Source organism: Homo sapiens, chromosome 8, assembly GCF_000001405.40.
Source record: "Homo sapiens chromosome 8, GRCh38.p14 Primary Assembly".
Lineage (NCBI taxonomy): Eukaryota > Metazoa > Chordata > Mammalia > Primates > Hominidae > Homo > Homo sapiens.
In genome coordinates, this window is record NC_000008.11 from 65454497 (window position 1) to 65469662 (window position 15166).

Genomic DNA, 15166 nt, shown 5'->3' on the forward strand with positions numbered 1-15166 from the left:
AAATTAGTCACTCAATGCATGGCATTGCCCCACAGTGGAGTCACTGACACCAATAACCAAGGCCGCTTCTCCCCAGGCCCCTTGGCTTGGCTTGGCTTATGCAGGAGAGAGAACTCAGGGGAAGCAGGGAGTGAAGACAGAGCTACGAGGCAAATATCCTGAGTGGCAGTCCAGCCTTGGCTTGCACTTGAGTCCATTTTGTTCATTTTAAAGCAATTGTCCTTTGCAGAACAAATCTCTTCTGATCTGTGCCTGCTCAGCATGTGGAGAGGAGTCTGGGGCGAGTTGGTGTTATCTTAAATAACTGTTACACCAAATAAACACACTATGCACACCCCTCAGCATTATAGAAATGGAAAATAAATCATCACCAAAAAGCTTATTTTACAAACCCACAAATCATCAGAAATATAAATGCTTTCCTTTCTATTCTCATGTTTTAATAAAGATTCTCCCCTCTTTTTTTTTCAGACTCACTCAATTACAATGTCACTATCAGTTCACATTACAGGTCAGAGATGTGGTGCTTAATGTATGAGGAGCCAGTTCTCCTCTCCTAATAGCCTGTCATTCCGGGGATTTGAATGTCAGAATACAGCCTTCCGCAGTAATGCTAGTCGGCAGCCCGATGATGAAAACTTTGGACAAATCATGAAGAACACTCCAGATCCACATCATCGGAAGGTTACCGGGGAGAGCCTTTCATTCCGCTTTGACCCCTTGATCTGACAAGTGACACCTACAAAATGAACAGCTCTCCAACTTAAATTGTTTAACTGTAGCCTGATCAGTTTTATTATCTTGCTAATCCAGATATCAGCCGTTTCATCAGAATGGAAGATATGCATATCATGAATTATTTTGACACGGGGACCTTTTAATTTTTGCCAGCAATATTTCACTGCCCCAATCAGGGCCTGCAGTCACTGATGCCGTTCGCCTCCTGGGACGTCAGCGGACAGCGCACTCCTGACAGCACCAAATCATCCGGGAGCTGTAACGAGCCATTGCTGCGATTATTATTATCTCTCGTAGTCATGCATTTCATTACAGCTCAGGCAGCCAGGGGCTTGGGTTTCAGGGCAGTCTTCTTCAGGAATCTCTGCCATTTTATGGGCTTGCCAAGCTCTGGGGTATAATTTCCCTTTTCTTTCCTCTCAACAGACAAGCCGAGGTGAATTTCTAATAAAAACAAACCCTAGGTAGGGACTGCAGGAAGAGCGAGCTCAGTACAGGACATTAAGCAGCGGTGAGGCAGCTTGAATGGCCCACTTGAAGTTTATGAAAGCAGTGGTTAATCAGCAATATGGTTTGCTACAGAGAAAAATAAAGAAGAGTTTATCCTGGAGTAGGGGGAAAACGCTCCTTTCTAAACTGCAAAGTGCTAAGAATGCTTTCTTAAGAAAAACTCCCTTCTTCCCTTAGATGTGTTTCTTAATGTCCCTCTCCCTTGATAACCATTTTCTTCCTCTGCTCGTCCATTCTAAGAGAACCCATCTCCATTCCAAGCCTGAAACTGCATTGTCTGCTTTCACCGAATTGTGCTTTGGCATTATGCCATAACTTCACTGAGCAGCCGCAGGAAATGCACTGTTGTATTTATTCTAAGGCTGTTATAGATCTTGTCGATCAATACATTACATAGCACATTCTTTGAGAGTATCCATGAGAGAAAGTTTCCCCTAGTCTCATGAACAACTGATCCATGTTAACTTTGGGGGCACTGTGAATCATAGAATTTATTGTTTCCTTCTTTGTAATGGCTGCTAGAAATCTCAAAACTAAATTTGTTGTTCTTTAAAAAATTAAACGTAGAACTGTCTTATGGTCCAGCCATTCAATTTCTGGGTATATACTCAAAAGAATTGAAAGCAGAGACTTAAACAGGTATTTCTCCACCCATGTTCATAAAAGCATTATTCACAACAGTCAAAAGGTAGAAAAATCCAGTGTCCATCAACAGAGGAATGGATAAGCAAAATGCAGTATATGATGTAATTGAATGTTATTCAGCCTTAAAAAAGAAAGAAATTGGCCTGGCATGGCAGCTCACACCTGTAATCCCAGCACTTTGGGATGCCAAGGCTGAGGTCAGGAATTCAAGACTAGCCTGGCCAACATGGTGAAACCTCGTCCCTACTAAAAATACAAAAATTTGCTGGGTGTGGTGGCAGGCGCCTGTAATCCCAGCTACTTGGGAGGCTGAGGCAGGAGAATCACTTGAACCCAGTAGGTAGAGATTGCAGTGAGCTGAGATCTCGCCACTGCACTCCAGCCTGGGAGACAGAGTGACACTCCATCTCAAAAAAAAAAAAAAAGAAAAGAAAAGAAAAGAAAAGAAAAGGAAGGAAATTCTAATACAAGCTACAATATAGATGAGACTTCAGGACATTATGCTAAGAGAAATAAACTAGAAAAAAAAGACAAATAGTGTACTATGCCACTTACACGAGGAACTTAGAGTAGTCCAATTTATAGAGACAGAAAGTAGAATAGAGATTGCCAGGAGCTGGGAAGAGGAAGAAAAATGAAGTTGTTATTAATGGGTTCAGAGTTTCAGTTTGGGAAGATGAAAAAGTTCTGGAAAAGGATAGTGGTGATGATTGCACAACATTGTGAATGTACTTAATGTCACTGAGCTGTATGCTTGAAAATGATTAAAACTGTAAATTTTATGTTATATATATTTTACCACAATTTTTAAAAACACAAAATTTGCAGCCAACCTCTTACAAATGTAAGGGATCTCCTAGAATGTACATTCTGTACTTATCTCATTAGTGGCTTCATTTATTCTTCCTACACTTACATTATCTTTGCTTTATTTTCCTCGTGGACTTTTTAAAAATATTATTTTATTGTGTGTTACTTTTTATACAATGATTTTTTTCACAGAACAGGAAGGATTTCAATGTTAGAATATATTCAGTCTGGCAAGACAAAGCTGTCGAGTTACTGTGTTGCAAGAGAGTAAAAGAAATGTGTATTTCTGAACCCCGTGCGTGACACTGAGCTGAGATGGGAAATCTCTCCGAGGTGAGGCTGCTTCTCAAGTCTCCTTGAATCAAGGGGCCGACTCTGACCCACGCACCACCAGGAGACTTTGTATGGTGCATTCCTGGGCCTTTCCCCTCCACCTTGGATCCATTTGTAGCCATCAACTCTTTCCCTGACCCAGAGCCAGCCTCGGGCGGCGTGAGCTGTGCAGCCTCCCAGAGCCCCACACTCAGAAGGGCCCTGTGCTTGCTTTAGTGCTCTGCTGTCGAATATTAAAATTCTTAATAATTTTTTATACAAGGAGACCTGTATTTTCGTTTTACACAGGGCCTCAAAAATCATGTAGCTGGTCTTGCCTCCACTAGACAGTGAGCATCTTAGAGGGAGAAATCCTGTCTTATATTTCATCAAATCCCCAATCCCAACCAAGTGCCTGATAGGCAATTCCATGGGGGATATTCAGTATAGAGACTGAAACCACATCAAGCCCTTTATTCCACAGTCCTCAACATTCCTTCCTCATAATCGCTTATCAAACCCACTCCAGACAAGGCCTGCAAAGCAGGAAGGGCAAGCCAAGTAGGGGAGAGGGAGACTCATTAGTGCAACCGCAAAGAAAGAAGAACTGTGTCCTCCATCTTCTCCAGGTTCAAATGCACCTGTGGAAATCACCTGTGATGTGAGAAAGGTGACGTGTGTTATACCCACAGCTTGAGCAGTCATAGCCCAGGTCTCAGCTGCAAGAGGGAACTACATACAGATTTACTCCAGGAAAATCACTATCCACATGATTTTACAAACTCCCCAGAGATGTGATTTAATAACTTCTCTAGGTAAAAACAGCTTAGCCATCCCATCATTCTTCACCATTTTCCTGGGAGGTAAGACTTTAATAGTTATCCACTTTAACTAGACAGAAATGTAGAGAGAACAGAGCCAGAAGAAAATCGAGAGAAGAAAAAGGGGAAAGAGAAGGAAGGAAGACAGAAATGCAGACAGTCAGGAAGAAAAATGGCCATCGCGGATCACGGCTCATGGCTCACGGCTCACTTCAAGTTCAAACAAGGCCTCTAGGATATCAAACTTCCAGTGAAGATTGTCTAGAAGCTGAGGGCTTCCAGATTATTTTATTCACTTCCCAAAACCTAATAAAATGTAAAAAAAATTTCAACCAAAGAATAGCCATTTGGAGTCTTTGGCATGTGTTTATTAACTTCTATTTTCATGAGGATCAGGGCCCAGAGTAAATCAATGGCATTAATTTGAGGCAGAAAAGAGGGAAGAAATAGAAGATTGGGTGTGGAGGGTGATGAGGAGATTGGAGAGGAAATGTCGCCCAGGGCAGCATTTTCTAATTTGCAGACTTGCATTCAGCCATCCCCCACCCACATGCTCACTCTATTCCTAACAGCATCTTCATCAATTAAGATTCTATGAGACTGGCAAGCTCCAAGATCAACCGTACCATCCACATATTCACTATTCCACTGGCACGGCGAACAATTCCGAATATTAAAAGTAAAGCAACACATTCTGCCATGTCTTTTGTATACAGACAGCTGAAGCTGTGTGAAAGTTTGGCACCAAAAGGCCAAGTACCATATTTTCAGCCACCCACACGCCAAATCCTATAATAACTACAGACTCTAGATGTGAAATTTTCAGACATTTGCAGCAAAGGAAAACTAATAGTCATGTTTCTTCATGGGCTTCTTTTCTGAACAGGGCAGTTTCTCAATTGTAAAACCTCATCAGTGTAAGCTAAAGAGAACAAAGGGTGCTGCGTAGATCTTTTCACCAGATGTCAAATGGTGCTTATTTATTTAAACAGAAACCCCCACTTTGTACATTTGGTTCATTTAGTGGTATGTGCTCTGTAACAAGTATTTTTTATGAGTAAAAAGCTGCCTCCAGTGTGCTTAAGTTACAATAGGGCTTCGGGAAAGTCTGTTAGCTGAGACTAGATATTGCTCTTTTTGCTTTTGGTTGAGATGTAAATTCCACTCCCATCCTCCCTCTATAATAGGGGAAATATTGTAGCTAACGTCATACCAAGACTGATAAGTAATCCTTCTTCTGTGGTCAACTCTAGAAGCAAGGATGTTCAGTCTTGCTGTGCTTTTGAAGGCAGGTGTAGAAGCAACAGAGTATTGATTTTCTCAAAGATAACAACAGAAAATATATTAATTCCCTCCCCTGTGAATATCGGGGCTCCTGTGGCCTGAATGGGCCATAAGAACCTAATGGGTAAGAGCTTCTTTTTCCCACTCGGTGAGGATAATAAAATGATTAACCTGAAACTCTTTTGAACTTTGGCAAATAAGGAGAAAGGAGGATGCTAAATATTTCTATACAAGAAGGGACTCGGTGTCTCCCATTCTACCCATCAGAAAAATGTATTTGCAGGTCAGATCTCTGTCAAGGAGCTTCTCCACCTGTCAGAAATAAGGTGTTTGAGTAACCCTCCTATCAACAAGGTGAGAGACAGTGGACAGAGATGACACCTTGCTGAAATTAGAAATAGGCAAAATACCTCAGAGATGAGCAAATATATGGAGAATTATTCCCAGATTATCAACTAATCAACTCCAGATTCTCCAGATCATAGTGCAAAATGCCAAGCCCCTTAGAAATACAATGGAAAAGAGTGTGTTTACCAGGAGAACTTTGAACAAGTACAAAGAGAATCTGAACATTCTTGGGTAGTTTAAAAGCCCTAAGATAAGAAGCAACTTCCCAGCACAGAATGATCTGAGACACAAATGAGGGGAGAACCTAGGAAAGGGTCAACAGCTCTCACACAATGTAAAAGGGAGAGATGTGTCTAAACTTGAATGAAGACTGTTCACTTAGTTAATGCTTGGTGAAGTTTTCCTCTGCTCCTTGATGAGGAGAAGTTGGCAGCACTGTATGCCCTTTATGAAGTACAGTACATGATTTTATCTAACATAACTTTTCAGTAATGTGTACACAGTTCTCATTCCCTACTGCTCTTCATCCATACTTAATTTTTCTTTTCCAAACCCAAGTTTAATTCATTCAACTTTGTATTACAGTTAGAAATCTAAAAGAAAAGGGACCAAAATAATGTTCTAGTGAAGATGTGGATATCTTTATTTATCAGATATCCATAGATGAATTATCATAGATATCCATGGGCAGAGTAGCACCACTTCCAGAATGCTAACTCAGCTTCAATTTCCATCAATACGCTGGCTTATATTGCTTTTAAAAATCCACCACTACAGGGCCTGGCGTGGTGGCTCATACCTGTAATACCAGCACTTTGGGAGGCCAAGGTGGGCGGATCACCAGAGGTAAGGACCAGCCTGGCCACCATGGTGAAACTCATCTCTACTAAAAATACAAAAAAAATAGCTGGGCGTGGTGGTGTGCACCTGTAATCCCAGCTACGCAGGAGGCTGAGGTAGGAGAATCACTTGAACTCAAGAGGTGGAGGTTGCAATGAGCCAAGATTGTACCACTGCACTCCAGCCTGGGTGACAGAGTGAGGCTCCGTCTCAAAAAAAAAAAAAAAAAAAAAACCACCACTACAAAACACCTGGAAATATGGATCTTTTTTTTTATTCTTTTTTTTGCGTGTGTGAGACTGAGTTTCACTCTTGTTGTCCAGGCTGGAGTGCAATGGCGCCATCTTGGCTCACCAGAACCTCCTCCTCCGGCTTCAAACGATTCTTCTGCCTCAGTCTCCCAAGTAGCTGGGATTACAGGTATACGCCACCATGCCCGGCTAATTTTATGTTTTTAGTAGAGACGGAGTTTCACCATGTTGGTCAGGCTGGTCTTGAACTCTCGCCCTCAGGTGATCCACCCACCTCGGCCTCCCAAAGTGCTGGAATTACGGGCATGAGCCACAGTGCCTAGCCTTTTTAAAATTCTTTTAAGTAAATATCTGAGCTCACAAAAAAAGTAAACAAAAGCTTTGCAGGACAAAAAAAAAAGAAGAAACTGAGTAAAGTAAACCAGAGTAATGAGCCATCTCTGAGCTTTTGACTGTATTGAGAACATTTACTATTCATGAAAATCAAGAGGCTTGTGTCTTAGTGGCCAAATATGGACAGGAGACAAGGCCTTGGGCCCAAACATTGGGCAATTAATGGAATCCCTCTATAAATCAGGGGTTTTCAAAAACTACAATTTCAGAGAAAGAATAAGTTAGAAAAAAAATCAAAGCTTCAGCCCTTAATAGTAAAAAGATATCTTGTCAATCACAGCCTGTATCCCAGGTTTAAAAACAAAACAAGGCCAGGCGCAGTGTCTCATGCTTGTGATCCCAGCACTTTGGGAGGCCAAGGCAGTTAAATCCCTTGAGTCCAGGAATTTGAGACCAGCCTAGGCAACATGGTGAAACCTCATCTCTACAAAAAATACAAAACTTAGTTGGACATGGTGGTGCACACCTGTAGTCCCAGCTACTCAGTGGCTGAGGTGGGAGGATCACATGAGCCTGGGAGGTCGAGGCTGCAGTGAGCCATGATTGTGCCACTGCGCTCCAGCCTCAATGACACAGTAAGACACTGTTTCAAAAAAAAAAAAAGAATAAGGAAGGAGAAACAAAACAAAACAAAAAGCTTCTCTGATATTGGAGAATATGGAGCTTTAGATCTACATTCTGGTCCAGAAACAACTAGGCTGAGATAGAAACATAAAAAGTGGTACCTGACTTGTAACATCCCCTAGAGCACCTAAAAGAACAAAATGCAAAAGCTTCCTGAAGGGACATGTCTTCAATCCAATAAATTCAGGCTACACAGGATTCCCATATAAAAATTCCAGTGAAAGTAAGTTCAACATCAAAAATTACAAAACTGCATGGGAGAAACAAGTTAGCATCAGCAAAATCTATGAGACACAAAAAGTATTAGAATTAGAACCCTGGGAATACCATTGAATACAAAGTAGAAATAAACAGTGAAATTAAACATAGATAAAAGTAAGATCTTATTAGAAAAGATGCAAGACAAAATTTTATCTTTTCTATTCATCTTTTATCTGGAATATTTTAAAAAGAACAATGTAAAATATCTGAAATTAAAATATAGTCATATATGATTTAAAACTTAAAACATGTTTCAAACAGCAAAGAAGACACAGTTAAAAACAGAATTGGAAAACTAGAAGAAAAATGGAAATAAAATAGTCAGAATAGAGCTCAGAAAAACAGAAAAGGAAAACATGAAAGGGAGTTTAGCAAACATGGAAAGGAGAATGATGTGGTCCAACATTTGGACTAGGCGCCTCAACGGAAGAAAATAAAGAGAATGGGGGATAGGTAAGAGATGCTTACTGACAATTTTCCAGAATTGATAAAAGATGCTGATTTTCAGATTCAGGAATACCAAAGAACGCCAAAGAGAAACGAATTTGCACCCAGATATTTTCTTTTCTTTTTCTTTTTCTTTTTTTTTTTTTTTTTTTTTTTTGAGATAGAGTCTCTTGTCACCCAGGCTGGAGTGCAGTGCCACAGTCTCAGCTCACTGCAACTTCTACCTCCCGGGTTCAAGCCATTCTCCTGCCTCAGCCTCCTGAGTAACTGGGATTACAGGCACCCACCACCACGCCTGGCTAGTTTTTGTACTTTTAGTAGAGATGGAGTTTCGCCATGTTGGCCAGGCTGGTCTCAAACTCCTGACCTCAGATGATCCACCCACCTCGGCCTCCCAAAGTGCTGGGATTACAGGCGTGAGCCACCGTGCCCTGCTGATATTTTCTAAATCTTTAAAGCAACCAGAGACCAGAGACAGATTTCTATAATTAATGACAAATTAGACTAACAGGAAATTTCTCAGCAACAATTGATGCCAGAAAACAGTGAAATAATAACTCTTAAAAGGAAAGAGAAAATAATGTTTAACCTATAACTTTATACCCAACTATCTTTTGAGAACTAAAACAAAGACATCTTAGACAAGCACACTGAAAAAGTTTACCAACCATGGTCCCAAATTAAAGAAATGTCTAACAGATGTATTCAGGAAGAACAGAACTGAACCCAGAAGCACGGGCTGAATTGCAAGAACACATGAGCAAAATAATTGATAAATATGTGGACAAATCTAAAAAAAATTGCATAAAACAATATCTATAATAATCGTAAGTAATTCTGGTAGCAAAATACTAAATGTAGAACTAAAAGTCACCATGCTCATTTGAAAGGGGAAAGACGTGGAGAACCCCACATGGGAGTATTTTATATGCTAGGCTTGGAAATGGCACACAGCATTTCCACCGACATTCCGTTGGTCAGCACTAAGCATGAGGCGACATCTATCTACAGTGCCTGGAAAGGAGAGTGCACACAAGAAGACTTGGAAAAAGTTTACTAATGGTTAGCAAAGACTCTGCCACAGGCTGCCCTTTCTTTTTCTAGTAACTTTTTGTAAACAACAGCTTTACTGAGAAATAATCCATAGATCAAAAAGTTTACCATGTTAAAATGTACAATTCAATGGTTTTTAGTATATTCGCAGAGTTGTGCAACCATCACCACTGGCTAATTTTAGAACATTTTCATCACCTCAAAAAGAATCTCCGTAACTATTAAAAGCCATTCCCTTTTTCCCTCTCTCTCCAACCTCTAGCAAACACTGATCTATTTTCTGTCTTCGTGGATTTGCCAATTCCAAACATTTCATATAATTACCTATAAATGTGATGTAATGCAATATGTGCCTTTTCACTCTAGTGTCTTTCACTTATCATAATATAATTTTTTTTAGTTTTTAATTTTCATGGGTACATGGCAGGTTATATACTTACGGGGTACATGAGATGTTTTTTGACACATGTATGCAATGTGAAATGAATTTATCATGATATTTTCAAAGTTCATGTATGTTGTAGCATGTATTAGTACTTCATTTCTTTTCATGACCAAATAATATTCCATTGAATGAACATTTCACATCTGTGTACCCATTCATCAGTTAATACACATTTGAATTGCTTCTACATTTGGCTATCATGAATAATGCTGCTATCAACATTCGTGTACAAGTTTTTGTTTGAACACCTGTTTTCTGTTCTCTTTGGTACATATCTAGAACTGGAATTGCTGGATTATGTGGTAAGTCTATGTTTAATAATTTGAGGAACTGCCAAACTGTTTTCCAAAATGGCTGCAATACTTTACATTTCCACCAGTAATGTAAAAGTACCAATTTCTCCATGTCCTTGCCATTTGTTGTCTATCTTATTTTAGCCATCATATTGGGTGTGAAGTTGAATCTCATTGTGCATTTGATTATCTTTTCTCTAATGACTAGTTATATGACGCATTTTTTCATGTACTTATTGGCCATTTGTATATCTTTTTTGGAGAAATGTCTATTCAAATTGCCCATTTTTAAATTGTATTTTTTGTCATTTTATTGTTGATTTTTCAGAGTTATTTGCGTATTCTGAATGCAAGTCCCTCATCAAATGTATTACTAGCAAATCTTTTCTCCCATTTTGTGGGTTATCTTTTCATTTTTATGATGTCCTTTGAAGCACAAAGTTTTTATTTTTGAAGTCCAATTTATTTTTTTACTGTGTATACTTTTAGTGTCATTTGAAAAAAATGCCTAATTCAACTTCACAGAGATTTATTCCTATTTCTTCTAAGAGTTTTACAGTTTTTGCTCTTACATTGAAGTCTGTTACTTCGAGTCAATTTTTATATGTAGTGTGAGGCAAGGATCTAACAACCTTTTTACTCTTCTTCTCAGGCATAGAACACATTCACTGCCTCCACAAGGGGGACCACAACTAGTCCTATTTGATAACTGGATTCATTGTTAATTTTAAGGCTACTTGTAGTTTTCTCAAACAAATGCTGATATATGTTCAGTGAACAAGGTTTAGTGACCTATGGAAAAAAAAACACAAATTATCTACACTCACAACACACAAAATATAACAGCGGAGTTGGGCCAGGGTAACCATAGTAAAAACCTCATTTTGAAGAGGGAAGAATGAGTAGCACCCACAGGTCACTGGCCCTGGAATCCTGCTAGCAAGTCTATATGAAAGTTATCCACCCTGAGGTGAGTGGTGGAGGAGAATGGAAGCTCCTTGAGTAGGAAGTGCCCTTTTCTTGCTCTCAGAGGAACTCCCTTATGAGTTGTGTTCCTTCAACCCTGAACTCTACTCTCTGAAAGGTGCTTCCATGACCATTGTACTTCATAGATCTGAAGTGAACACTGGAAGAGATTCCCTCCTTAGAAGTTACATGGCTTTCACAATGATGAACACAACTTTTATGGAGAAAATTATAAACCTTTACTTCAAGATATTTTAAAAGAACTGTAACTGGGCTGGGTGCAGTGGCTCACACCTATAAACCCCACACTGTGAGAGGCCGCAGCAGGCAGATCACTTGAAGTCAGACATTCAAGACAAGCCTGGCCAACATGGCGAAACCCCTCCTTTACTAAAAATACAAAAATTAATGGGGCATGGTGGTGCATGCCTGTAATCCCAGCTACTCAGGAGGCTGAGGCAGGAGAATCGCTTGAACCCGGGAGGTGGAGGTTGCAGTGAGCCAAGGTCATGCTGTTGCACTCCAGCCTGGGCGACAGAGCAAGATTCCATCTCAAAAAAAAAGAAAAAATAAAAGAAAAGAAGAACTGTAACTAAAACCCCAGGGGTTCAGTCTAGGTCCTGCTGCCCACCACACAGAATGCCAGTCACTGAGTCAACAAGTATTGCCAGGGAAGAAGGCTTTATTCAGGTACTACCTCAAGGAGAACAGGAGATAAAGTCTTGAATCTCTAATTGGGATGTTTATACAGCAGGGAAGACAGGAAAACAGGAATTAAGGAGGGGAAAGAAGAAACAATGATGAACCAGGGGGTCTGACATCTCATTATGTGGATGTGGGGATCTGATGAGTTTCAGTGCCTTGCCTGAAGGTCAGTTTCCTGAGAAAGGAACTCAGATGAGACAACTGTAAGTTTCAAGTTTTAAAACCAGGGAGGGTCAGTTTCTATGTTTATTTAAACAATAAAAAAAACAGAAATTTTAATTCTATGGGACAAGTAGGCCACTTTCAGAACCAAATAAATGTAGAAATATGGCATATTCTTTGACATATAGCTATCAAGTCTTCCTAGAATGCCTAAATTGATATATAGTTTCAAAATGCAATTCCAATCAAAATCCCAACATGTTGGAATATTATGGAGCCACAGAAAGGAATGAGATCATGTCCTTTGCAGGGACATGGATGAAGCTGGAAGCCATCATCCTCAGCAAACCAACACAGGAACAGAAAACCAAACACCACGTGTTCTCACTTGTAACTGGGTGCTGAACAATGAGAACACATGGACACCAGAAGGGGAACAACAAACACCAGGGCCTGTCCATGGAGCCAGGGAGGTGTTGAGGTGAGGGGGGCATCAGGACAAATAGCTAATGCATGCAGGGCTTAAAACCTACGTGACAGCTTGATAGTTGCAGCAAACCACCATGGCACACATATACCTATGTAACAAACCTACACGTTCTGTGCATGTGTAGGTTTGTTACACTTAAAGTAAAAAATGCTGCTATAAAGACACATGCACACATATGTTTATTGTGGCACTACTCACAATAGCAAAGACTTGGAACCAACCCAAATGTTCAACAATGATAGACTGGATTAAGAAAATGTGGCACATATACACCATGGAATACTATGCAGCCATAAAAAAGGATGAGTTCACGTCCTTTGTAGGGACATGGATGAAGCTGGATACCATCATTCTCAGCAAACTATCACAAGGAAAAAAAACCAAACACCACATGTTCTCACTCACAGGTGGGAATTGAACAGTGAGAACACTTGGACACAGGAAGGGGAACATCACACACCGGGGCCTGTTGCAGGGTGGGGGGAGGGGGGAGGGATAGCATCAGGAGATATACCTAATGTAAATGACGAGTTAATGGGTGTAGCACACCAACATGGCACGTGTATACATATGTAACAAACCTGCACGTTGTGCACATGTACCCTAGAACTTAAAGTATAATAAAAAAAAGTAAAAAGATAATAAAAAAATCACATTGTTACACTTAAAGTAAAAAAAAATAATTTCACCATGTTTTTGTGTGCATGTATGTGTATAACTGAAACTTGATAAGGCAATTGTGAAATTTTTATGAACGATTAAAGAGCAAAGAAACTCCTTAAAAACAGACAAGGGAGAAGGATTTGGCTTGCCAGATATCAAAACTTATAAAAATGTTAAGAGCATGTGGTATTAATGAAGAGACAGATAAGACATAAACAAAACTGATTAATAAAATAAAATAGAAAGCCTAGAAGAAAATCTACTCACACAATGTTTAGAGCTGGCTTTGCATATCAGTGGAGTATAGAATTTTAATAAATAGTTTTGAGATACTGATTATCCATTCTGAAAAAAAATTAAGTCTCTATGTTACACCATCTGAAAAAGAAGGATAAGGATGTATTTTAGGCAGATTAATCCAAATGTGAAAGCAAAATGATAACACTTTGGAAACAACATAGGAGAATATCTTTATTACTTGGAGGTAGGGAATAATTTCTTATGATATGTAAAATACAATACATAATAAAAAGATCTATAAATTCAACTTCACTACATTTATTTTCATATTTAGAACTCCTGAATATCAATAAATAAATGCCTAAAACAATCCAATAGGAAAATAGATAAAATACTTGAAGAGGCACATTACTATAGTAACCTGAATTGCCATTAAACATAAAAAAGATGCTCAGGCATTTTAGAGGTAGGTCAAATACAAACTGACACTACAGTGAAATACTATTTTATACTCACAAGACTGGCAAAAGTTTCAAAGTCTGACAGTGTCAAATTAATGAGGATATGGGAGTTTGATTTAGTACCCCTGCTATGGAAAACACTGATATTAGCTAATAGAACTGAAGATGAGTATATTCTATGACCTATAAATTCCCCTTGTACTTTTGTACCCTGGCAAAATTCTTGTAAACAAATACAAGAATGTTTCTTCACAGAAACACCATGATCACAGAAAAAAAAAAAAAGCATGTCCATAGCAACACTATAATAATAGAAAAAAATGAAAACAAAACAGAAGCAGAAGTAACCCGAATGTCTATCAAAAGTAGAATGAATAAATCAGTTGTCATTCTTTGGTATTTGTGGGAGATTGGACACCCCCCACCAACAGATACCAGAATCCTTGGATGCTGAAGTCTCTTACATAAATTGTGTAGCATTTGCATGTAACCTATGCACATCCTCCCGTTTACTTTAAATCATCTCTAGATTACTTATAATACCTAATGCAATGCCTACACATCACTTCGTTTGTGTGGATTCAACCACCAGTTGTGAGATAAAACATTACTAATATATCAGCTTCGTTCTTTATATTTAAAGTGTTTTACGATTTTAACCAGAATGTATCTTTGTGTGCATTTCTCAGTACTAATTTTGCCAGAAACGCTGTGAATCTTCTGGCTTCTCAGTTTTAGATCATTTAAAAAATTGGAAGGAGGCAGGGAGTAGTAGCAGACTCGTCCATAATGAGCTACTGCAAATTGTGCTCTTGATATTCCTTCTTTATATCCTTAGCCTCAAACATTTTACACTTAAATACTCTTCCAAATGAAGGTTAATGGCAGTTATGGAGAGATAAGACCCAGGGAATGCATAACACTAAGTTGGAATATGAAAAAAGAACTGTTGGCATCTCTTTAGCAGTATGTCAATAAAAACATCGGAAGAGAGCTAGTAATGCTGAATTGCATCAAACTATCTTCTGCTCTAAGTCAAAGCCTGATTTATGTGTCCCAGTCTAAGGACGATTCTGTGTTAAGAGTTAGGCAAAATTCACCTGTAGGTCACCCTCTTCTCTTCCAGAATTTTCCATGATGAAATAATATTTTTCCTCATTGGTGTCTCAAGTACTCATGGCATAATAGCCAAATTTGCTCTGTGAGCTTTCCAGTTGACAGCATGGAGTCAGCCCAGTGCGGTGCATGGACTTTGCAGCCATCCCCCATGCACATCTATGTGGCTTTGGGAAACTGGTGCCATCTCTTTTTGCCTTGGTTTTCTGATTTCAAAATAGGAGAGATTGTCATAGGGTTGTTCTGAGGGTTGAACGAATCAATATACAAAGCGCCCAGCACATAGTA

General features: G+C 39.3%; 1 annotated feature.

The window, feature by feature from the left end:
* Positions 514–743: a silencer, noted in NCBI's record as "fragment chr8:66367245-66367474 (GRCh37/hg19 assembly coordinates)". NCBI's record gives its function as "represses an EF-1alpha promoter that drives an FKBP-Casp9 reporter gene in an ReSE screen in K562 erythroleukemia cells {active_cell/tissue: K562}" and the evidence as "EXISTENCE:reporter gene assay evidence [ECO:0000049][PMID:32094911]".